Genomic DNA, 24,928 nt, shown 5'->3' with positions numbered 1-24,928 from the left:
ATGCATAAATCTGCTATTCTTATGTTAATCCACGCTTATTACAGAAGCACAAATTTGAGTTCTTTTTCATCCTCTGGATCCTAATTTTTTTGTTCTCAATAATGGACAAGGGCTCTGTGAGAGAATCTCTGAGAATCTTTCCTCATGGATGGTGGTCTGATACAGTTATCTGGTTGGAGACAGAGAGTCTTTGAGGAAACTGATCCAATCAAGTCAGATCCTCTCTGATATGATTTGGATGTGTGTCCCCATTCAAATCTCATATTGAAATGTAATCCCCAGTGTTGAAGATGGGACCTGGTGGGAGGTGACTGGATCATGGGGGCAGATTTCGCATGAATGGTTTAGTACCATCCCCTTGTTGCTGTCCTTGTGATAGTGAGTTCTCATGAGATCCAGTTGTTTAAAAGTGTGTAGCCCCTCCCCTCTCACTCTCTTTCTCCTGCTCTGGCCCTGTGCCATGCCTGCTCCCTCTGTCTTCCACCATGACTGTAAGTTTGCTGAGGCCTACCTAGAAGCTGAGCAGATGCCAGCATCATGCTGCAGCCTCAGAACCATGACCCAATTAAACCTCTTTTCTTTATAAATTATGCTGTCTCATGTATTTCTTTATAGTAATGTGAAAACAGACTAATGCAGTCTTCAAAAGCTCAGTGACCCTGGAAAGAAACATGTCCAAGGGGTTCAAAGACGCCACTAGTCCCAGAATAGATTAGGTGTATGTAATGCTAATATGAGTTTAGTGGGGATAAGGACAAAACATATAATCAGTCAGCACTCAGCAAAATTTAGTCTTTCATTATCTCTCTTGTGTCAGTAAAGTGTTCATCTCACATAGAATGAAAAGGGTCTATGCACATTGAAATAGAGTCACCAAAGAATCATGGAGTAAACAATCTGAGTGCTATCCATGACACCTGAATGAAGCTGATTCAGAGAAAACCTATGCCTTCTGGTGCACTTTCAAGGCAAGACCAGAATTCCACGACAAACTTCTCATCAAGAAATCAAATCTGTTCTTCTCCGCTTGCATCTTAGTGGCCTTGTGCCAGTGTTGACCAATATAGCAGAAGTGATTTCCAAGGTTAGGTCACAAAAGGCCATGCAGCTGCCATCTTTTTTGCTGGAATGCACATTCATAAGGTCAGCTACCCAGAGGCTACCATGCTGAGAGTAAGCTCGAGCCACATGGACAGCCCATGTGTCAGAGCTCTGTTTGATAAAACTATCTGAGCCCAGCCTTTAGGTCATGTCAGCCCGGGTGCCAGACATGTAAGTGAAGAAGCCTCCAGATGAATGTAGCCTCTCACGGTTTGATTTATGCCCCGTATTTCAAATCTTCCCAAGCTGAAGCTTCCGACAGGTGAAGCAGAAACAAGCTATCTCTGCTGTGCTGTCTGAATTCCTAATCCACAAAATACATAAGCAAAATAAAATGTTGCTTGATGCCTCCTTTCTCCTTCCGCTTTTGTGGAAGATTGAGAAGACAGAGGCATTAAGACTATTTTATTTCATTATCTATCAAATTACCCCATTTTTGTGATTCAATGACAAATATTAAATTACATCCATCATCAGAAGAATGAACACCTAGTGTATGGTTTCTGATGGGTAGTCTGTGAATTTTGCTAAACTACACACGCACAAAATTGTGTCCAGTGGGCAAGTTTATACTCCTTGTTTCTTCTTTATCAGAACAGGAAGACACAGAGAGGTCCTATGCTGGGTAAACTGAAAAAAAATACTAGCCTCCTCACTCACAGCTGACATGATCTGAAGTAGAATGAAGCAAGCACCAACTCTGGCCTATGGACCATCTCAAGAGATCAGATGTCACACTCCCTTTCCATGAACTCATGATTAATAGAAAGAATTAGTGAAGTGTTTATTAATGAAATAGCAAGAATGTTAGCAACACTGTTATATTAGCATAGGATAATGCCAGCTAGGTCAAAAAATATGTTTTACCTGACGACATAGACTAGCGATTCTCAGAATAGTCACACTTTTTAAATATTCAAAGAATAGTGTTTAGAGTAAGAATGGAGAAGGGGTTAAAAGCAGGAAAAAGGCATAGCAAGGCTAATAAAATAAGGACAACTTACTAAAGATAGTACTGATTCATCTATTCTGTAAATGCATCCAAAGTCATTATATTTATTACCAGGTGTGCACTATTTCATTGAATAAATACTAATTGAGCTCCAATTCATGTAGCATATTTCAAACTTAAACTGAAACAAAAAACCCTATTGAGGCTACAAGCCAAAATGCAATATATTTTAGTATAATTAAAGGTAATTTTTATGACTGAAGTTTAATAATATTTTCAACAAATAGCATTGACTTCATTATTTTTATGTTTTATTAACTATATTTCAGACATCCAAATTTCAGACACTTGGGATTCCCAGTTTTTTTATTTGGCATGATCAGACCAATCAGATTATTTCAATAATCCACCTAAGATGATCTGACATTATTTGAAATAATTGAGTGGATGGTCACAATTGGTCAAACCTTATTTCTTTCAGAGCCCATGTCTGATTGTTTTCATAGACCTGGCTTTTCCTCAGACCCAACTCTGGGATTACAACAAAATTTCCTTGTTGGACAAAGTAATTTTAAATCTGATACATATATATATATAAATATATATATATATTGTCTAATCATTTTCACTTTATTATAGCAAAGTATTGTTAGGGACCCAAAAATATGAATTTGTGATTTCAAGCCTACAAAATACATTTATAATGCAACAAATGTATGCTATAAAAATTGCAGCATATATTTTCTTCCCAAATTTGGTAAAATCATAGGGCTAACATTAGCTTTCCTTTTTTTTTTTTTTTAGAACACTTTCCTAGGGAAAGATATACTCTTTAGGTAGATATGAAATGTAAGCAATTTGAACCAAATTTACTTCCCATGAATTTAAATTCACAAAAAGCTGTATGAAAAAGAGTAGGTGAATACTACCCCTGTCCATTTTGATTTGATTGATTTGATTTGGAATGTTACATCATTATTCCCATTTAAGAACTTTTGCTTCTATGGAAAGAAATTTGAAATGGAAGATTTAAGGACTAATTTCCATTCCTAGGTCTCCCACCGATCCTCACTATGATAATAAAAATACAATTATTGCTTTAATAATGTTAAATATTGTTAACATTATAATAATTATTTCATTTTATTTTACTACAATGTATGTCTTGTACTAAATATCATGTGTAAGTAATATTTTTCTACATGGTATCTAGGATAAGACACAATGAGCTCGAGCTACAGTTTTTTTATCTGCTTAAAGGTCATAGATTGAATAGACTGGGTGCTCTCAGATCCCTTCTGGCACTACCAATCTTTGATTCTAATCCACAACTCCATCTGTCCCTGATATCCATTTGATGGAATAAAATTCAGTAATCTAAACTGAAATAATAGAAGACTGATGAATTTTGAATAACAGTAGTCCCCATGTATTAAAAGCCCATTGTGCTCCTTGCAATATTATATCTAATCCTAATGACAACTTTGCAAAGCAGTTGTGATTACATTTATTCATTTATTTATTTTTAATCTTTTTATTATTATACTTTAAGTTCTAGGGTACATGTGCACAACGTGCAGGTTTGACACATAGGTATACACGAGCCATGCTGGTTTGCTGCACCCATCAACTCAACATTTTCATTAGGTATTTCTCCTAATGCTATCGGTTCCCCAGGCCTCCACCCCCTGACAGGCCCCAGTGTGTGATGTTCCCTGCCCTGTGTCCAAGTGATCTCATTGTTCAGTTCCCACCTATGAGTGAGAACATGCAGTGTTTGGTTTTCTGTCCTTGTGATAGTCTGATGAGAATGATGGTTTCCAGCTTCTTCCATGTCCCTGCAAAGGACATGAATTCATCCTTTTTATGGCTACATAGTATTCCATGGTGTATCTGTGCCACATTTTCTTAATGCAGTCCGTCATTGATGGACATTTGGGTTGGTTCCAAGTCTTTGCTATTGTGAATAGTGCCATAATAAACATATGTGTGTGTGTGTCTTTATAGTAGCATGATTTATAATCCTTTGGGTATATACTCAGGAATGGGATTGCTGGGTCAAATGGTAATTCTAGTTCTAGATCCTTAAGGAATCACCACACTGTCTTCCACAGGTTGAACCAATTTACGCTCCCACCAACAGTGTAAAAGCATTCCCATTTCTCCACATCCTCTCCAGCATCTGTTGTTTCCTGACTTTTTAATGATTGCCATTCTAGCTGGCATGAGATGGTATCTTATTTTGGTTTTGATTTGCGTTTCTCTGATAACCAGTGATAATGAGCATTTTTTCACGTGTCTGTTGGCTGCATAAACATCTTCTTTTGAGAAGTGTCTGTTCATATCCTTTGCCCACTTTTTGATGGGGTTGTTTTTTTCTTGTAAATTTGTTTGAGTTCTTTGTAGATTCTGGATATTAGCCCTTTGTCAGACGGGTAGATAGTAAAAAATTTTCTCCCATTCTGTAAGATGCCTGTTCACTAGGATGGTAGTGTTTTTTGCCATGCAGAAGCTGTTTAGTTTAATTAGATCCCATTTGTCAATTTTGGCTTTTGTTGCCATTGCTTTTGTGTTTTAGTCATAAAGTCCTTGCCCATGCCTATGTCCTGAATGGTATTGCCTAGGTTTTCTGCTAGGGTTTTTATCGTTTTAGGTCTAACATTTAAGTCTTTAATCCATCTTGAATTAATTGTTGTATAAAGTGTAAGAAAGGGATCCAGTTTCAGCTTTCTACATATGGCTAGCCAGTTTTCCCAGCACCATTTATTAAATAGGCAATCCTTTCCCCATTGCTTGTTTTTGTCAGGTTTGTCAAAGACCAGATGGTTGTAGATGTGTGGTGTTATTTCTGAGGCCTCTGTTCTGTTCCATTGGTCTATATCTCTGTTTTGGTAGCAGTACTATGCTGTTTTGGTTACTGTAGCTTTGTAGCATAGTTTGAAGTCAAGTAGCATGATGCCTCAAACTTTGTTCTTTTTGCTTAGGATTGCCTTGGTTATGCAGGCTCTTTTTTGGTTCCATATGAACTTTAAAGTAGTTTTTTCCAATTCTGTGAAGAAAGTCATTGGTAGCTTGATGGGGATGGCATTGAATCTATGAATTACTTTGGGCAGTATGGCCATTTTCACGATATTGATTATTCCTATCCATGAGCATCAAATATTCTTCCATTTGTTTGTGTCCTTTTTTATTTCATTGAGCAGTGGTTTGTAGTTCTCCTTGAAGAGATCTTTCACATCCCTTGTAAGTTGGATTCCTAGGTATTTTATTCTCTTTTTAGCAATCATGAATGGGAGGTCACTCATGATTTGGCTCTCTGTTTGTCTGTTAATGGTGTATAGGAATGCTTCTGATTTTGCACATTGATTGTGTATCCTGAGACTTTGCTGAAGTTGCCTATCAGCTTAAGGAGATTTTGGGCTGAGACAATGAGGTTTTCTAAATATGCAATCATGTCATCTGCAAACAGGGACAATTTGACTCCCTCATTTCCTAATTGAATACCCTTTATTTCTTTCTCTTGCCTGACTGCCCTGGCCAGAACTTCCAACACCATGTTGAATGGGAGTGGTGACAGAGGGCATCCTTGTCTTGTGCCAATTTTCAGATGGAATGCTTCCAGATTTGCCCATTCAGTATGATATTGGCTGTGGGTTTGTCATAAATAGCTCTTATTATTTTGAGATACATTCCATCAGTACCTAGTTTATTGAGAGTTTTTAGCATGAAGGGCTGTTAAATTTTGTCAAAGACCTTTTCTGCATCTATTGAGATAATCATGTGGTTTTTGTCATTGGTTTTGTTTATGTGATGGGTTATGTTCATTGATTTGCATATGTTGAACCAGCCTTGCATCCCAGGGATGAAGCCAACTTGATCGTGGTGGATAAGCTTTTTGATGTGCTGCTGGATTCAGTTTGCCAGCATTGTATTGAGGATTTTCACAACAATGTTCATCAGGAATATTGATCTAAAATTTTCTTTTTTTGTTGTGTCTCTGCCAGGCTTTGGTATCAGGATGATGTTGGCCTCATAAAATAGGTTAGGGAGGATAACCTATTTTTCTATTGATTGGAATAGCCTCAGAAGGAATGTTTTGATTGGAATAGTTTCAGAAGGAGGTACCAGCTCCTCTTTGTACCTCTGGTAGAATTTGGCTGTGAATCTGTCTGGTCCTAGACTTTTTTTGGTTGGTAGGCTATTAATTATTGCCTCAATTTCAGAGCCTGTTATTGGTCTACTCAGAGATTCAACCTCTTCTTGGTTTAGTCTTGGGAGAGGGTATGTGTCCAGGAATTTATCCATTTCTTCTAGATTTTCTAGTTTATTTGCGTAGAGGTGTTTATAGTATTCTCTGATGGTAGTTTGTATTTCTGTGGAATCGGTGGTGATATCCCATTTATCATTTTTTATTGCATCTATTTGATTCTTCTCTCTTTTTCTTCTTTATTAATCTCGCTAGTGGTCTATCAATTTTGTTGATCCTTTCAAAAAACCAGGTCACGAATCCATTGATTTTTTGAAGGGTTTTTTGTGTCTCTATCTCCTTCAGTTCTGTTCTGATCTTAGTTATTTCTTGCCTTCTGCTAGCTTTTGAATGTGTTTGCTCTTACTTCTCTAGTTCTTTTAATTGTGATGTTAGGGTGTCCATTTTAGATCTTTCCTGCTTTCTCTTGTGGGCATTTAGTGCTATAAATTTCCCTCTACACACTGCTTTAAATATGTGCCAGAGATTCTGGTACATTGTGTCTTTGTTCTCATTGGTTTCAAAGAACATCTTTATTTCTGCCTTCATTTCGTTATTTACCCAGTAGTCGTTCAGGAGCAGGTTGTTCAGTTTCCATGTAGATGTGCGGTTTTGAGTGAGTTTCTTAATCTTGAGTTCTAATTTGATTGCACTGTGGTCTGAGAGACAATTTGTTGTGATTTTTGTTCTTTTACATTTGCTGAGGAGTGCTTTACTTCCAATTATGTCGTCAGTTTTAGAATAACTGCGATGTGGTGCTGAGAAGAATGTATATTCTATTGATTTGGGGTGGTGAGTTCTGTAGATGTCTATTAGGTCTGCTTGGTACACAGCTGAGTTCAGGTACTGGATATCCTTGTTAACCTTCCGTCCTGCTGATCTGTCTAATATTGACAGTGGGGTGTTATGGTCTCCCATTATTATTTTTTGGGAGTCTAAGTCTCTTTGTAGGCCTCTAAGGACTTGCTTTATGAATCTGGGTGCTCCTGTATTGGGTGCATATATATTTAGGATAGTTAGTTCTTCTTGTTGAATTAATCCCTTTACCATTATGTAATGGCCTTCTTTGTCTCTTTTGATCTTTGTTGGTTTAAAGTCTGTTTTATCAGATACTAGGATTGCAACCCTTGCTTTTTCGTGCTTTCCATTTGCTTGGTAGATCTTCCTTCATTACCTTTATTTTGAGCCTATGTGCATCTTTGCATGTGAGATGGGTCTCCTGAATACAGCACACTGATGGGTCTTGACTCTTTATCCAATTTGCCAGTCTCTGTCTTTTAATTGGGGCACTTAGCCTATTTACATTTAAGGTTAATATTGTTATGTGTGAATCGGATCCTGTCATTATGATGTTAGCTGGTTATTTTGCCTGTTAGTTGATGCAGTTTCTTCATAGCATCGATGGTCTTTACAATTTGGCATGTTTTTGCCGTGGCTGGTACTGGTTGTTCCTTTCCACGTTTAGTGCTTCCTTCAGGAGCTCTTGTAGGGCAGGCCTGGTAGTGACAAAATCTCTCAGCATTTGCTTGTCTGTAAAGGATTTTATTTCTCCTTCACTTATGAAGCTTCGTTTGGCTGGATATGAAATTCTGGGTTGAAAATTCTTTTCTTTAAGAATGTTGAATATTGGCCCCAACTCTCTTCTGGCTTGTGGAGTTTCTGCCAAGAGATCTGCTGTTAGTCTGATGGGCTTCCCTTTGTGGGTAACTCGACCTTTCTCTCTGGCTGCCCTTAACACTTTTTCCTTCATTTCAACCTTGGTGAAGCTGACAATTATGTGTCTTGGGGTTGCTCTTCTCGGGGAGTATCTTGGTGGTGTTCTCTGTATTTCCTGAATTTGAATGTTGGCCTGCCTTGCTAGGTTGGGGAAGTTCTCCTGGATAATATCCTGAAGGGTGTTTTCTAACTTGGTTCCATTCTCCCCATCTTTTTCAGGTACACCAATCAAATGTAGATTTGTTCTTTTCACATAGTCCCATATTTCTTGGAGACTTTGTTCATTTCTGTTTACTCTTTTTTCTCTAACCTTGTCTTCTCACTTTATTTCATTAATTTGATCTTCAATCACTGATATCCTTTCTTCCACTTGATTGAATCAGCTACTGAAGCTTGTGCATGCATCACAAAGTTCTCGTGCCATGGTTTTCAGCTCCATCAGGTCATTTAAGTTCTTCTCTACTCTGTTTATTCTAGTTAGCCGTTTGTCTAATCTTTTTTCAAGGTTTTTAGCTTCCTTGCAATGGGTTCAAACATCCTCCTTTAGCTCGGAGAAGTTTGTTATTACTGACCTTCTGAAGCCTACTTCTGTCAACTTGTCAAAGTCTTTCTCTGTCCAGCTTTGTTTTGTTGCTGCTGAGGAGCTGTGATCCTTTGCAGGAGAAGGGGTGTTCTGATTTTTAGAATTTTCAGCTTTTCTGCTCTGGTTTTCCCTATCTTTGTGGTTTTATCTACCTTTGGTCTTTGATGTTGGTGACCTACAGATGGGGTTTTGGTGTAGATGACCTTTTTGTTGATGTTGATGCTATTCCTTTCTGTTTGTTAGTTTTCCTTCTAACAGTCAGACCCCTCAGCTGCAGGTCTGTTGAAGTTTGCTGGAGGTCCACTCCAGACCCTGTTTGCCTGGGTATCACCAATGGAGGCTTCAGAACAGCAAATATTGCAGAACAGCAAATATTGATGCCTGATCCTTCCTCTGGAAGCTTCGTCCCAGAGGAGCAGCCACCTATAAGAGTTGTCTGTCAGCCCCTACTGGGAGGTGTCTTCCAGTTAGGCTACATGGGTGTCAGGGACCCACTTGAGGAGGCAGTCTGTTTGTTCTCAGAGCTCAAACACCATGCTGGGAGAATCACTGCTCTCTTCAGAGCTGTCAGACAGGGATGTTTAAGTCTGCAGAAGTTGTCTGCTGCCTTTTGTTCAGCTATGCCCTGCCCACAGAGGTGGAGCCTAGAGGCAGCAGGCCTTGCTGAGCTGGGGTGGGCTCTACCTAGTTCAAGCTTCCCGGCCCCTTTGTTTACCTACTCAAGCCTCAGCAATGGCAGACGCCCCTCCCCCAGCCAGGCTGCCACCTAGCAGATAGATCTCAGACTGCTGTGCTAGCAGCGAGCAAGGCTCGATGGGCATGGTACCTGCCGAGCCAGGCACAGGAGAGAATCACCTTGTCTGCCAGTTGCTAAGACCCTGGGAAAAGTGCAGTATTTGGGCGGGGAGTGCCCGCTTTTCCAGGTAGTCTGTCACGGCTTCACTTGGCTAGGGAAGGGAAATCCCCCAACCCCTTGTGCTTCCCAGGTGAGGCAACACCTCACCCTGCTTCAGCTTACCCTCCATGGGCTGCACTGTCCACCGCAATGCACTCCGTGGACCCACTGTCCAACCAGTCCCAATGAGATGAACCAGGTACCTCAGTTGGAAATGCAGAAATCACCCGTCTTCTGCGTTGATCACACTGGGAGCTGTGGACCGGAGCTGTTCCTATTCTGCCATTGTGGAATGCCCTCCCTAATACATACATTTAACAGTGAAAAATGGTGGATAATTTATACCAGTTTTTTTCCATCAAGGAAGAAAGCATACAGAGGGTAAAATTACAGTCAGATAGTAAATAGGCCTGGATCCTTAGGCCCACTGTAAGATACAGCACAGATGCCTTCCCAAACCTTAGAAAAGCTAACTCATAAATCACGATTAGCAATAAGGAAGACAGTTGAAGGAGTATAGCTACACCTGTGCAAATCTGTCACTCTTCCTAGAAAAAGTATTCAAACCACAGTGAGCAATGTCATGAAAAACAGAACACTTATCACCAAGAAGAACCGTTCTTTACTTCTCCTTCCCATTTTCTTCTGTAGTTGACAAAATCAGAGCTATAAAGTGAACTATCTTCAGGAATTTGCCTGGAAGGCAGCAGGCGAGCCACCATGTTCCATAGAAATTCTGGAGACAGCAGCAATGAATGGACAGCTATTCCTTCTAATTTTAAGCATATTGCCACAGTGCCTGGGTGTCATCTCCTCTGGAAAACTTAACTCCTAGAAATTTAGCTGAAAGTCTAACACTGTAAATGTTAAGACCTGACACTATAAATCCTCCCTAATGGGTCAAGTCTGTTCTGTTGGCAGTCCTATTCAACATATATTTTTAAATTTTCTGTGAATATTTGAGTACTTTTTGTGCTGGCCATATTCACAGTACTCTGTTGCATTAATGAAACACATTTGCCCTGATGAATCATCGGTAATATGCAATTAATCGTGTCTCCTAATGAACCAATATCCCACAAACGAATTGATGAGCAAAAATTTAAATAGTACTAGATGAGGGTAAGAGAATGCAATGTAAAATATTTCAAGAATAGTGTTAAACAGGAAGTTGAGTTGCAAAATATGTTTCTTCTATTTAAGTGCCATTTTATTAAATACTTCCTTACCTATATTTTTGTGGACTTTTATTTTCAGTTCAAACTTTCGTATCAACCTGCATGGTAAAATACCAGCTGTCAATTTACCTTGTTCTCAAATTCACGTAATCTTAAAAATAATGTCTACTACTATTAAGGCATATATTTGCAATTATGCTCTCAAAATTATAATTTTTAAAATCAGTACTTTTATAACCATTTTCCTATAATCACTTGAATGAATATTGATCTAGAAAGCTAGTTCAGCTCGGCCAGGCCCGGTGGCTCACGCCTGTAATCCCAGCACTTTGGGAGGCCGAGGTGGGTAGATCACGAGGTCAGGAGATGGAGACCATCCTGGCTAACATTGTGAAATGCCATCTCTACTAAAAAAAATACAAAAAAAAAATTAGCCAGGAGTGGTGGCAGGTGCCTGTAGTCCCAGCTACTCAGGAGGCTGAGGCAGGAGAATGGCGTGAACCCAGGAGGCAGAGCTTGCAGTGAGCCGAGATCACACCACTGCACTCCAGCCTGGGCAACAGAGTGAGACTCTGTCTCAAATAAATAAATAAATAAATAAAGTAGAAAGCTAGTTCAGCTCTTGTTGTGTGCACCTGGTAATGACAATGAAATGTGGACTCATTCATATGGTCAGAATTATTTCATAAGGCTACTTTCCCTGGTTTTAGAAATATCATGTTTCACATATTTAAATTATCCTTCTCTCAAAAGGATAAAACCTTGATTGAAATAACTTCCTCCTTTTTTCAATCAGCTACAAAAGAGAAAGAAATGAATTAAGTACTAGGATTAAATTAATGCTGATGTAGCACCTCATAACCACTTCTCAAATTTAGTAGTGGTGGTCGGGAAAAGAGAAGAGAATATACAAAGAGAAGAATCAGCTGAAGATACATAATAGGACAACTGGACCATGAGTTAATTGCCTGAGGGTCACCTAGGAACCTTGATTAAAAACATTAACATCTTGATGTAACAAATCTACAGGACTTCATGCCTCTTCCCCCAGGCTCCCACAGGCTTTTGGGGGCCCTCTGGTTGCCTTGGTCACAGAAGGTTTTCTTCCTTTAATCAAACTCCCCTCCCCCAACTCCACAGCCTCCTGCTTTGAAAAAAAGGAGCCTTTGCTCAGCAGACCAGTTCCAACTCTTATTACTCTTTTCTCTTGGCTCCAACAGCACAGAGCCCATGGTTCGATGGCAGCTAATTCCAGTGTTGCACAAAGATTTCCAGGAGACCTACCTGAAATGTGGGCAGAAAACAAAGACCACTGGCTGAGAACGTTTTAAGGGAACCTGGTTAGGAAACTATGGCTACATATTATAAAATATCTGATTAGTATTTGTCTCCCATTCTCAAATGTCTTGAAGGTTTTTTTAGTTCTCATGTCAAAAATAGGAGGAAGGGAGTCTAGTGACATGAACACATCAGGATTTTGCTTTCCTTAATTTCCCTTCAGGGTCCAGGCCCTCTTGACAATTTCAGATCTCATTTTCTTTCTACTTCTCTTTTCTGTATTTTCTCTTTTTTTCCCCTCTTTCTTTCTTTCTTTTTCTTTCTTTCGGTCCCTCTCTCTCTCTTTCTTTCTTTTCTGTCTTTTCTTTCTTCTGTCCTCCTCCACTAAATTGAGCATTTCTAAAGAACTGGGGCTAAGTCTCTTATTTTTTATACCCACTCTAGAGAGCCTGCTTTTCTGTGATTGCAATACTCCAGGAAAGCATTACAGTGTAACAGGTATTCATTGTCCCCTTCCATCCTCCAGCTCAATACCCTGTCCCCACCAGACCTAAGCCTGAAATTCACTCTCAGAGCTTTACTTTATTAACTCAGTAATTCTTTGCTAGGACGAGATTGACATAAAACCAAATCATCCTGGCAGGTTTTTGTTTTTTCAAAACACAGAAAATTCCTTCCCCTAGGGGTTGTATCAGAATAGTTGAGAGAGCATAGAGGTATCTGTTGCTTGAAAAGATTGACCAAAACTTTCTTACCTCCATCTCCTTCCTTGCCCCTCACTATGCACCTTTACTAGAAAGACAGTAAGACTATGTTGAGAACAACCACTTAAACTAAGAGAACAACCGCTTAAATTGAGACTGCAATTATCAAGAGGTTAACTGATCAAGTCGTATATCTCTCACAGTTCATAGATTTTGTCTTCCCTTCTTGTTTAACCTCAGGTAGCCTTCTAAATAGAATAGTCACCTTTCAAAATGCAAATCTGATGAATACTCTACAATGATTCTCCTTCATCCTCAGAATGAAGCTCAAACTTCATACCTTTTAGGTGCATCTACTGCTGTAACACTACATGTTACCTATCCTATAAATTCACTCCAACCTCAGGTACTCTGCACTTTCACCCTTTGGTGCTTCAAATACAATACCTTCCACCTCGAACGTCCTGCCTTGAGTTAAATTTCATGATGAACATCCTCTCATTCTTCCTCTCCCCCTTCCTCTCACCCTTTGTGAAGCAACTCAAGAGCATTTTTTCTCCAGGGACAGGATTTGAACCCTCCAAGACTGAGTTAAATGTCCATGTGAGGTAAGCACCCTTTGCAAACTTCCCTTATAGAACTTCTGATCACACTGCATTTATAAAGAGGAGACTTACTCCATGTTTTTGGCATTTGATGCTGAAAGCCCTCTTTCCTCACCTCCTGGTGCCAAGTATCTGGACAAGCTGATAAGGAAACCTGGTGTTCCCTTTGATGTCAGTGGGAGATTCAAGCCACAAAAGCCCATGATTCCAGCCTCATTTTGGAATCACAACAAAAACCTAGAGCCAGCCTCCTTTCCTTGCCCTTAAGTCATTTTAGACCTGATTGAAAGCCCTGCTTTTCTCACCTCAGAGATCTCAATTTTGCAAGTAATTAATCATTTCATACCCTCTCTGTTAGTATGTGGCATCAGAAATCTCAATATCCAAACCAAACTTTAAGTGGAAGGTCTATCAGCCATTGAAGGTAACCATAACAGTAATTGTAACTGATACAGAAGGGAGGCAGGGAAGTGCTGGGTAGAGAAATGTGGGTCCCTTGCTAGGGCTCCACCCTCATGGACCTAGGTGAGGACAGGCACTCCTGCCTTCCTGCCCAAATGTTGCAGTTTCCAAGACCACCCTGGCCTGCCATGACCCCATTCTGGGCCTATAAAAACCCAAGACCCTAGCAGGCAGACACACAGGTGACCAGATGTCAAGAGGAGCACAACAGCAGAAGACACAAGTGGCTGGATGGCTAGGGGATGTAGAGGGAGCATGCTGGTGGAAGAGCACACTGACAGACACCGGCAAGCCAGCAGGCTGTCGACCTACGGGATGTGGCAGAGTTTGGCCAGGGCAGTTGGAGGAGGGCCAGGTGTTAAGCAGCCCAACTCCAGAGAAAAAACATCTGCCTTCTGGCTCCCCCATCAGCGGAGAGCTACTTCCACTCAATAAAACTTCATACTAATTCTCCAAGCCTACATGTGACCCAATTCTTCTGGTACACCAAGGCAGGAACCTGGGATACAGAAGGCCCTCTGTCCTTGGGACAAGGTAGAGGATCTAATTGAGCTGGTTAACACAAGCCACCTATAGACGGCAAACTAAGAGAGCATCCGGTAACACATGCCCACTGAGGCTTCAGAAGCTGTAAACATTCACCCCTAGACACTGCCGTGGGGTCGGAGCCCCATAGCCTGCCCGTCTGTATGTTCTCCTAGAGGTTTGGGCAGCGGGGGACTAAAGAAGCCAGCCACACCCCCAGCCCACGCCCTGCGAGGAGGACAAGGGAACCTTTCCCGTTTCATAACCACTGTTTTTCTTGCCTACAACCTCCCCTAAATCATGAGTCCTTTGAGGATAAGGGCTGTGTGTTGCTTAAATATCCCCAGTACCTGGTAAAGTGGTATTGTGTCTGGCACAATAGTGAATGCTCAGTAAATGTTCACTTGCTGAATGAAGTACATAACTTTTGCTGAGTGCCTGCATTCATTAAATAAAATGTAAATAAATTAAACTTTTATGGTTTGAAAGAAACTTGGGTATTATCAAATATGACCCAAACTAATGAGTCATGCAAACTAATGAGGCGTATATATTAGCATTTGTATTAGCACTCTCACTGCTATAGAGAAATACCTGAGACTGGATAGTTTATGAAGAAATGAGGTTTAATTGGCTTACAGTTTCACAGGCTGTACAAGAAGCATGATGGCTCTGCTCAGCTTCTGAGAAGGCCTCAGGAAACTTACAATCATGGCAGAAGGCAAAGAGGAAGCCAGCATGTTTTACATGGCTGAAGCAGGAATAAGAGAGAGAGGGTGAACATGCTACACACTCAACCAGATCTCATGAGAACTCACTCATTATGCAGTACCAAGGGGGTGCTAAACCATGGGAAACTGCCCCCGTGATCCAACCATTTCTTACCAGACCTCACCTCCAACCCTGGGGATTACAACTGAACATGAGATTTGGGCAGGGACACAAATCCAAACCATATCAGCCTTGTTACCTGTTATGGCAAAACAAATGTACAGAAGGTTTTGTTTCTATTATTGTTACTATTTTATAGTAAAAAGTCACAAAAAAGTCTTACTAAAATACAAAGTTGTCCTTTGTGGACTAGGCTGAGAGGTAATGAGATCATTACCCTGGTTGGTATTTAAAAAGGCATCACTTAGAGGTGTCTATTCCAGTCTCAACAGCTCAAATATAGTATGTTAGGATTACCATTGATTTGGATAGCTTGAAGAACCTGGAAGTAATCATGAACACAGCCAGGTAGCAAGTTTTATGTACATTTATTATATATTTCTCAATTATTTCAAAGTGCTTTCAGACGGGATGCTTATATTTCAAAGCAGCCAGTATCAAAGTTAAATCTCTACCAGTAGCTGAGTTTAATAATTGCCCATAATTTGCTTGGATCATCATCTGCATCAATAACAAGAATAATAGATAAAACCCTAGTGGACTGGCTATACAGTATAAAGCAATGAGGCAATTGCCTCCAACCCATCACTGATTTGCAAAGACACATCCACTGCCAACCGCCAACCTTGCTACAGGCCTATTTGTAAGTTCCCTGGGCTTAACTCTGTTGCAATAATGCATTACATTGTAATGTAACTTCCTGTGTTCTTTTCCATCTTCCTCCAACACCCATGGACTGCTTTCTGCTCAGTGCTGCAGCCCCAGCCTCTAGCGTGGGGCAGATCACCAGGGCTCCATTATGATCTCCCTAGGCTTTGGGCATTTTAGCCTTGGTGGGACTTTTCCTCCATAAAAGATATTTTAAAATATACCTTGTGACTGTTGGTATAAAGATGAATAGTTTAATATTATATGTTACAACATGTTCTTGGACCTAAAAGTTCATTTTCTTCTTGTGTTCATAAAAGCAATTAGAGCATTTTTCTGGGCCCCTAAGAGTTGGCCTTAGTGCTTAATGGATAAGTTGACCCTGCTGGGCACATCAAAGGTAGTCAGTTACTGCTTGATGGATGGATGACAGATGACAGAGGGAAGGAGAATGCAACCAGCCAGTTAGTACTAAAATAAATAAAAATTCACACCCATATAATCAGTCTAACCCCCACGTACACACTTCCGTTATCACTTAAAGCCATTAGATACAAGGAAGTAGGACTGCTGCTGCATTTCAAGGGGGTCCTGTTCTTTAAAGTACCATCCTCAGTTTTTTCATCCAAGTCTCCTTCTTCTGCCTGGAACCAGCAGGAGCCATATGCCCCAAGCTTTGGTCAAGACCCAGGAGTCTTGGTCATGACCCTGTTTCTGTTCCTTTCCTTTGAGGTGCTCTCCAAACTTCTAACCCCAATAATCCACCTCTCCTAAAAGTGAAGTTGACCAGATGCCCTGAGTTGTACCTATGCAGTGTTCTTGAAGTTCCATGGCTGGGACATTGTTGTAAGCAAGTGGATCATTTTCATCATCCAGTATGGTAATTGAACTACCAGAAGAGTACTACTGACATGCTGATTTGGACAGACTTTTATTCACAACAAACAAAGGACAAGTCATACTTTGGGCCAACCCTGGGGCTTGAACAGTGTGTGTTGTGGGCTGTCTGCATGTGGGTCTAGAGTACCTTAGGTTGGTGGGGTGGGGTGGGCATTCTTTAATAGGTAGATCCCTCTCCATCCCCACACTGGCACTCAGGATGGTCACCCCACCCTTTTCCGCTATGCACCATGTGACAGGTATCCCTCCAGGACAGCTGCGCCTATCTCTTCCTAGGACATTCATTGCTCCCCAGTGCCAAAGGGCCCTTCCCATCCATATGGTGACAAGGTGCTCTCTGGGTTAACCTCAAACCATGTTGGATAAGGAATACACTTTGCTTCCAAGAATCACTTTTCTCTCTCCACCTATTCCCCCTTTCTCTCCATTTCTGGCCCTTGGTGGTAGCCGTGTGTGAGAGCCACGTTGTTCATCAACATTGAAAGGTTTCACAATCTAGGAATGCAGTGATTATGGCCTAAAGAGTTCAAGAGGAGACATGGATGGAAGGTGTATTTGTGCTATGTTTATGCTACAGAAATCCACACAATAAATTCAAGATGACTGGAATATGGACTATTGTTCACATTTTCTGTGTACTCTGAACAAGTTTTGTATTTGTGGCTATCAATGAAGCCTCATATCTACCTTTGAGAGAATCTCTGGAAGCCAGGATTTGTGGACAGTGGGGTGAATAATACAGGTCATGAGAAATGATGCCACCAACATCAAGTAAATGGTACTGGGAAGTTTCAAAGGCAAAAAGGTCAACATTATTTTAGCACAAATAGTGTCCAGAGAGCCATGGCCATGGCATTGTGAACAATGGCACTATTGCTACCTTACTCTCGGTATAAGGTAATAAATGTACCTTATTACATTTAACAATTAAGAACATAAGCCAAGCACGGTGGCTCATGCCTGTAATCCCAGCACTTTGGGAGGCTGAGGTGGGCGGATCACAAGGTCAGGAGATCGAGACCATCCTGGCTGACACGGTGAAACCCCGTCTCTACTAAAAATACAAAAAATTAGCCAGGCAAGGTGGCAGGCGCCTATAGTCCCAGCTACTCGGGAGGCTGAGGCAGGAGAATGGCGTGAACCCAGGAGGTGGAGGTTACAGTGAGCCAGGATAGCGCCAGTGCACTCCAGCCTGGGCAACTGAGCGAGACTCTGTCTCAAAAAACAAACAAACAAACAAACAAAAAAACAATTAAGAACATGACAAGGTGGTGCCTGACCACTGCGAAGAATCCTCACAGGCTCTGACTGGACAATAAACAAATGCGTAAGTACATCTTCTCTTATTATTCCAAAACTTCATTTATAAGGCACTATGCATGACCTCATGAATATTGTACTAATTTTTAATAGTGTTTATACAGACACAGGTGCTACAAAAAATAAATATTTGCCTCAGGCTTTGCACACCTAAGGGGTGGCCCTGATTAAGAAAAATACGGTTGGAAGGATCCTTCTTCCTTTCAAGATGATGAATTCCTGCAAGGATGCCTATGGCATGCTTTTTACCTTGATTTTATGCAAATGTTAAGGAAAAGGACTAAGGAACAAGGTAACATGTAATTAGCACATCAAAGCTGATAGCCAAACACACACACACACACAAACACACATTGCTAGTGACAGTTTGTGTCAAGCCTTCAGGCCTTAGCAGTTTATCATTTTCATGGCAATTGCCAGAAGTAGCCCAAAATAATAGCAGCTCTTTGAAGAGCCACAGTGAAATTCAAGCCCCATTGAAAAGGTCTGAAAATTGTGCTCTCATAGCAAAGAGAAACAAAATACTTTCTTTTTCCAGGTGTCACTTGAAGAAATTTAGTCATCACCATAGTTGCTACATTTTCAAAGAATCTTTTGAGGGGTGGGTCTTTTCATTATTTAACAATTAGCGAAGCAGGCAGACACTTACTTAAATGGGAGGTAGAGAATTTGGGAATGAATAAGTAATCACCGTCTTCTTCATAAATGCCTAAATAAGGGCCTGATAAAATATCAGCATTCTTGACACTTCCCATCCCCTTATTTCATCCACAGTTTAAAAAGCATTGCATCAACCAAGACAAAATCAGGAAAACAGCTGTTTAAAAATGAGGTTCTTTCCTGATGAGAAGAGTCAGAAAAAAATAAAACATATGTTGATGTTTCTGAAATTCCATTTGATGATTTTATAGTAAGGCAAACAATGCAATGAGAAGTAGTAAGAAGGAAACAAGCTCTAGCAATTTGCTAATTCCAGAAGCACTCTGCAAATGTCTTCAGAACAGTGAAGCTCTACTATAGTATTTTGCAAGTATTTAGCTAGATGGCAGGGTACATGCTACCTCATATTTCTGGTCCTAAAACCCAGTTGAGTATTCTACATAAAATGTATATTTCTTTAATCCTTAAGATTTCACTAGATTAAACTACCCTTACTATATAGAGAAAGGGGGATGGGTAGGGTGGCTAAGTCATTTTTCCATCACTTGTGAATAAGCAGGTTTGATGAGATAAAATATCAGCAAAGAATAATATTTAAACTGCAAAGAGCATATCAGACTAAATAAATATTATTTAAACAACAGAAGGGGCATGAGTAAATTAGAAGCTGGATTTGTTTCTAATACTGAGTTTAAATAGTGAATCAAAGATCTGTATAGAGGAAAGTAGTTATTAATGGGTTTCTGCAGGAATAAAGAGAAGGTGAAAAAAGGGCGAAGATGGAGAGGGTAACATAAGGATTTAGGTTTGAAGTAACCTATCTTTTTACGAGGACACGAGAGTGTGAAAAATCGTAAGATCTGCAAACCTAATTTATAGTAATATATATATGAGTAGAAAATAATTTAGAAATTATCCAGTCATACTTTCTATGGAAGGCAGAATAACGTTCTCCCCATCAAAGATGTCCATGTCCTAATCCCTGAACTTGTAAAAATGTTACTTTATGTGGCAAAAGAGACTTTACTTTATAGGTGGGATTAAGTTAAGAATCTTGAGATGGAAAAATTATCCTAGATTATTGGGATGGTCCCAGTATAACCAAATGGGTCTTTCTAAGAGGGAGGCAGAAGTGTCAGAGTAGGAACAAGGTCTGGAGATGCTATGCTGCTGGCTTTGAAGACAGTGGAAGGGACCACAAGCCAAGGAATGCAGGTAGCCTCTAGAAGAAGCTAGAGAAGGGAAAGAAACAGATCCTCCCCTAGAGCCTTCCAGAAAGAATACAGTCCTGCCAAAACCTTGCTTTTATCCCAATAAGACATGTGTTGAACTTCTGATCCTCAGAATCGTAAGACAATAAGTGTGTGCTATTAGAAGCCACTAAGTCCAGGGCAATCTGTGATAGCAGCAATAGGAAATGAATACACTGTCGTTATTATAGTCTAGAGAGTAAAATAAGTTACCTAAGGTAACAGAACTGGTAAATGGCAAAATAGAGAGTACAACCTAGGGACTGGAGGGGCCAATTCACTACAGGCCTCTTTCTGCTGGATTTTGTGTCAATAGAGAAACAGACATATGATTTGCTTAGGCATCCAAACTGGTAAAGTTGTATTAGGATAGATTGGGCTTGAGGTCAAATTGGGTGTCCTAGTCCTACTACCCTGAGTTGGTCACCAACACAGCAGCTGAATAACTCTAGGTACATCCCCTCTGTCTGTCCTTTCTGCAGAACAGAGCTTCCTCAGGGAGGCTCAGAGGAGAGGGCAATGCCTACAGTTATAAGCAGGAGCTCCCAGGAGGGTAAATGGTCACAGGTCACATTTGAAGGGTGACCTTGAACATATTAAACTCACCCAAATGGGAAACATAGGTCATATCACCCAGTGGGAAGAGATGAGACAGAAGTATGTTCTTCCTCAGTGCTTGAATGAAGTGGCAGGGATGTTGGAAAACTTCTTCTTTTATTGGCTCAAGAACTTGCCAAGACCAAGGGCCCTCTACGCATCTGACTTGAATCCCTTCTGGGCTTTCAGTCCTCACCTGCCTCTGTCACAACTCAGTCGGACCTCAGAGAGCCTAAATGAAGTTAAAGAATCTCATAATGAAGATAGATTTATTTCTCTTTACCTTAATTTACAGAAAGGATGTTTGTAGTAAAAATATACATATATAAAAAACACTGTTTAAAATTGCCATGGTCTAAATGGTTGTGTCCCCCTCCACCAAAATCCTAATCCTCAATGTGATAGTATTAGGAGGTAGGGTCCTTGGGAGGTGAGTAGGTCATGAATGTGGAGCACTCATAAATGGGATTAGTGCCCTTATCAAAGAGGCCCCAGAGAGACCCCTTACCCCATCTAACATGTGAAGGCACAGCTGGAAGGCACCATCCATGAATAAGAAAGCAGCTCTCACCACACACAGAATTGCCAGTGCACTGATTTTTGGACTTCTCAGCCTCCAGAACTGTGAGAGAAAAATTTCTGTTGTTTGTAAGCCACCCAGTCTTTGGTATTAGAGTAAGACAAAAAACAATTATGGAGGATTTAGGGTGATGTGAAGAAAGTAAATAGTGTGCCAACACAAGCATGGCAACTCCTGAAATATGAATGCATTTTTTACTCTACAGAAAATGTCTCTTCACTGAACTATTAGATGCTCTTTCCCAAGGCAATAATAAGATCTTTATATTACCAGCACTTAGCATGGTGTCTGGCAGAGAGTAGACTTGCTGATATTTGTTGAGGAGGAGAATAATGTAACAGGGTTTATTGGTTTGTTGAGCTATACTTATTGAAACACTAAAAATTAAATATTAGTATGAACATCTCTATTTTACAAATTAAAAAAACTGAGGGCACAGATAGACTTGGGACCATGCTGAAGTTGACACAGTTAGGATTCAAACCCAGGTATTTGGGCCCTAAAGCCTTAGCTGTTGACTGCTGGGTGCTAGCACTTTGTCTTTTAGGCCACTAGGATATCTAGCTACAAATAGATTCTGAAGAGCCAAAGGACTGAGTAACACAGCTAGGGAGCAAATTGCAAAAAGGAGTTGAGAAATTCCCTATTCACTCTGTCTCATCTCCTTTCAAAGAAAAATTATTACAATAACACAATTTTATAAATGAAAAATAAATCCCTGCACTATCATGCGGTTTAAAATTGCAGGAGTTTTTTTCAAACATATAATTTAATAAACATGTGGTTTAAAATGTCAGTCTTCCCCATGGCCTGCCCCAGATACGTTAGGCCTGTAAGCCTTGAAAGGATTTCCCCGTGAAGGCAAATTCTAGGTATATGCAACTCTGAGTCATGTGAGCAAGAAACCAGAAATTTATGTTGAATGACAAGATCAGTGTTGGAGGAATGAGCCATGTGCCAAAACTTCATCAGGCTGTGCTACAATAATAGGTGTTTTTGCTCCATGACTCTTATTTAGGAGACTGTCTAATTTTTCTCTGTTTCTTTTTCTTATTATGAAAAACACTGCCCTTCTTCTGGGCTATAGGAAGGTTACTCTAATGTGAAACTCATAGATTTATCCCACTGAGAGACAGCTGTGACTCAACAACACATCGGGTGGTGCCATCTGCCTGGGTAGGCGGCACTATCACAAACAGGCCTGTGAAAGTCACCCTGTCATTTGCTATGATGATGCCACTAAAAACATTATTTTTCCCATCAAATTATCTCCATTTGTGAGTCTTGGACACAATTTTTTCTGATTCTGGAATTAAGATGATTTCTGCTTTTCTTAAATGATTAGTTTGCTTATTCTTTATGTATTGTCAGAAGGACAATTTGGTTTTTAAAAGGAAATAAAGCCTTAAATCACAAGAATAAGGTTAGGAATTTGGAAATTCACTTAACTAGTCAGTGGGGAGAAAAAATAATTCAGGAGACTCTCTTATCTCTGACATAAATCTAGCTCTGTCACACAGAACTCTACACATCAGAAAAGTGATATGCCACGAACATAACATAGAATCCCCCCAAAATAACTTAGCCACATTGCACAAAGTGAGATAGCTAATAGAAGTACAACTATGACTTTTAAAATTATCTTCAAAATTTTCTTCAAAAATCAAAGAAATATAATGGATCTATGGAGTTAAAATATTCTAGTCTGACTTCGTTCACACTCCGTGAAGCCAGCACTCAATAGCAACACACTCACACCAACCTAGGAAGAGTAAATGGAAATCTAAATTATTAACTTGTCCTTAAAAAAGACATACTACTGCATACAATTTTAATAGAGTGGTATTCTGGTAATAGCAGCAAGATTCATACCTTAGAGTAATTTACAAATATATATGAAGAGATATGTACAGAAATATTCATAGCAGCATTGCTTGCAAAAAGAAAAAAATCCTGAAAGTAACCCAAATGCCCAGGAAACTGAATGATTCTATTGTGATTATTCCAACAAATGGAATACCGTACAACAGTAAAAATGGATGAGTTACAACTACACAAGTCAACATGAATGAATTTCAGAATTATAAAGATGAGTGAAAAACTCACCAAAGAATACATTCAATAGACACCATTTGTATAAAGACTGAAAATAACAAAAAATGTTAACCTATGGGCATAAATATATCTGTCATAAGATGATAACCAAAAAACTGATAAAATAGTGTTTGCTCCTGAGCAACACAGAAGGAGATGCAAGCAGAGGCGAAGAGGCATATGTAATAGAAGACATCAACTGCATTGGTAATATATTATTTCTCAAACTGAGTACTCATGTTACTATTCTTGTAACTTCCAGGTCTGCATGTATTATATCACAGAAATGTTCCATAATATAAAAATTGGTTTAACTAACTATCTTGCTTTGGCAGTAACTAGTTGTTCACCAGCCATTTCCTTTGTCTTTCTGAGCACGTTACTGGCCTCCATTTCCCAGCCTTGCTTGCAGTTAGGTGCTGCCCTGTGATGAGTTCTGTACCACGGACCATGGGCAGAAGAGGTACATGCTCTGTCCAGTGCGGCCTACAAAGCTGGCCCTGCACCTGGCATACTGTCTTCTTCCTGCATCTGCTAATCACATGCAAAAAGTCCATTGCAGGACTCTGTGGACTGAGAGGGTGTCAGAGGCTCTGGATAGTGGCAGAACTGCCATCCTCATTTTCACCCAACTGTGCTAAAAGCAAAAAACAAAAGTCAGCGTGATAAGCCACTGAGGGTAGGGGGTTACGGTAGCAGCCAGCTTCCCCTGCCAATACACTTACTATAAAGTGATAATCATTCAGCCTACAGCTTCCAAATGAAATTAAAACTTCAGAATATAAACCAAAATCTGTTCCAGAGAAATAAACTCAATCTCTCTTCAGTGATTAAAAACACCAAGCAAGATTCAAACCTATCTAAGGAAACTGAGGCCAGAAGTTTCCTCTCTTAGAAAACAAACAAATATTATTTGGAATAAAATCAATCCCACTTTACCAAGAAAATAAGATAATTCACAGATCTTAATTCAAGCATTTCTCATATCCAGTTCCAGGCAAGGAGAGAGCCATAATGTACATGCTTGTAACCAAGAGGCCAACCATCCAAACAGAAATGAATAATGGGGTCACAATAGACATTCCACAGAAAGATTCCAGGGAGGGGATAAGTAACTACCTCTTGCACCCATAAACCATAGCTGCAGAATAACATATAGAAGAGAATAATCGGCACAGCTACATTTTGTCAGCCCTTACTTTATGACAAGCATTATTATCATTGGCTGACAAACACAGTTAATTCTTCATAAATAAGATAGTCCTATTATTAGTATTTTACAGATGAGGAAATTGAGGCATAGAGAATGAAGTTCAAGGCTGTCCCAACATGCTATCTTAGACTGCGTTAAAGAGCTAACATGTTATTCTTCCAAAATATGGGATAGTTATTTTTTTTTAAATATAGGTGTTGCAAAGAGGTCGAGGCCTTCTTGAATTCTCTTTTTAAAAAATCAGTAGGCCCATCTGTAAATTACTAACACCGTCAACTGAGAGTAGAAGCAGTAATAAAGCCAAGAGAGAGGATTCAGAAGAGAAGGGGGTTAGAAACAGCTTCTCATCCTCCACCTTTCCTCTTGCTGCTGCTTTTAAAAATCATCAATCTTACTTGGAACGTGTTTCAGAATCCTTTATTTTAAGACAAGAAAAACCATTAACAAACATGTCCTAAATGAGTTCCTACTAGGTGAATAATGTTCCATTATACACAAACAAGGCCTTACTTATAAAACTGGGTCCCCAC

At 40.0% G+C, this 24,928-nt stretch overlaps 1 long non-coding RNA gene across 1 annotated transcript in view, besides 1 other annotated feature; it reads right to left on the bottom strand.

Moving 5' to 3' along the window:
• The window catches only part of LINC00382 (long intergenic non-protein coding RNA 382), a 45,451-nt gene extending 21,216 nt beyond the window's left edge, over positions 1-24,235 (bottom strand). Inside the window, exon 1 of the long non-coding RNA NR_120413.1 lies at positions 24,125-24,235. This is a non-coding gene — a long non-coding RNA (long intergenic non-protein coding RNA 382). The remainder of the gene's footprint in view (positions 1-24,124) is intronic.
• Positions 13,479-13,979: an enhancer, noted in NCBI's record as "H3K27ac hESC enhancer chr13:80456977-80457477 (GRCh37/hg19 assembly coordinates)". NCBI's record gives its function as "activates a minimal SCP1, AML or CMV promoter by ChIP-STARR-seq in naive H9 embryonic stem cells {active_cell/tissue: H9 hESC(naive)}" and the evidence as "EXISTENCE:reporter gene assay evidence [ECO:0000049][PMID:30033119]".
• Positions 24,236-24,928: the final 693 nt, after the last annotated feature.

This window comes from Homo sapiens, chromosome 13, assembly GCF_000001405.40.
Source record: "Homo sapiens chromosome 13, GRCh38.p14 Primary Assembly".
Classification (NCBI taxonomy): Eukaryota; Metazoa; Chordata; class Mammalia; order Primates; family Hominidae; genus Homo; species Homo sapiens.
The sequence above is the reverse complement of the archived record's forward strand: the minus strand, read 5'-3'. Positions and strand labels throughout refer to the sequence as shown.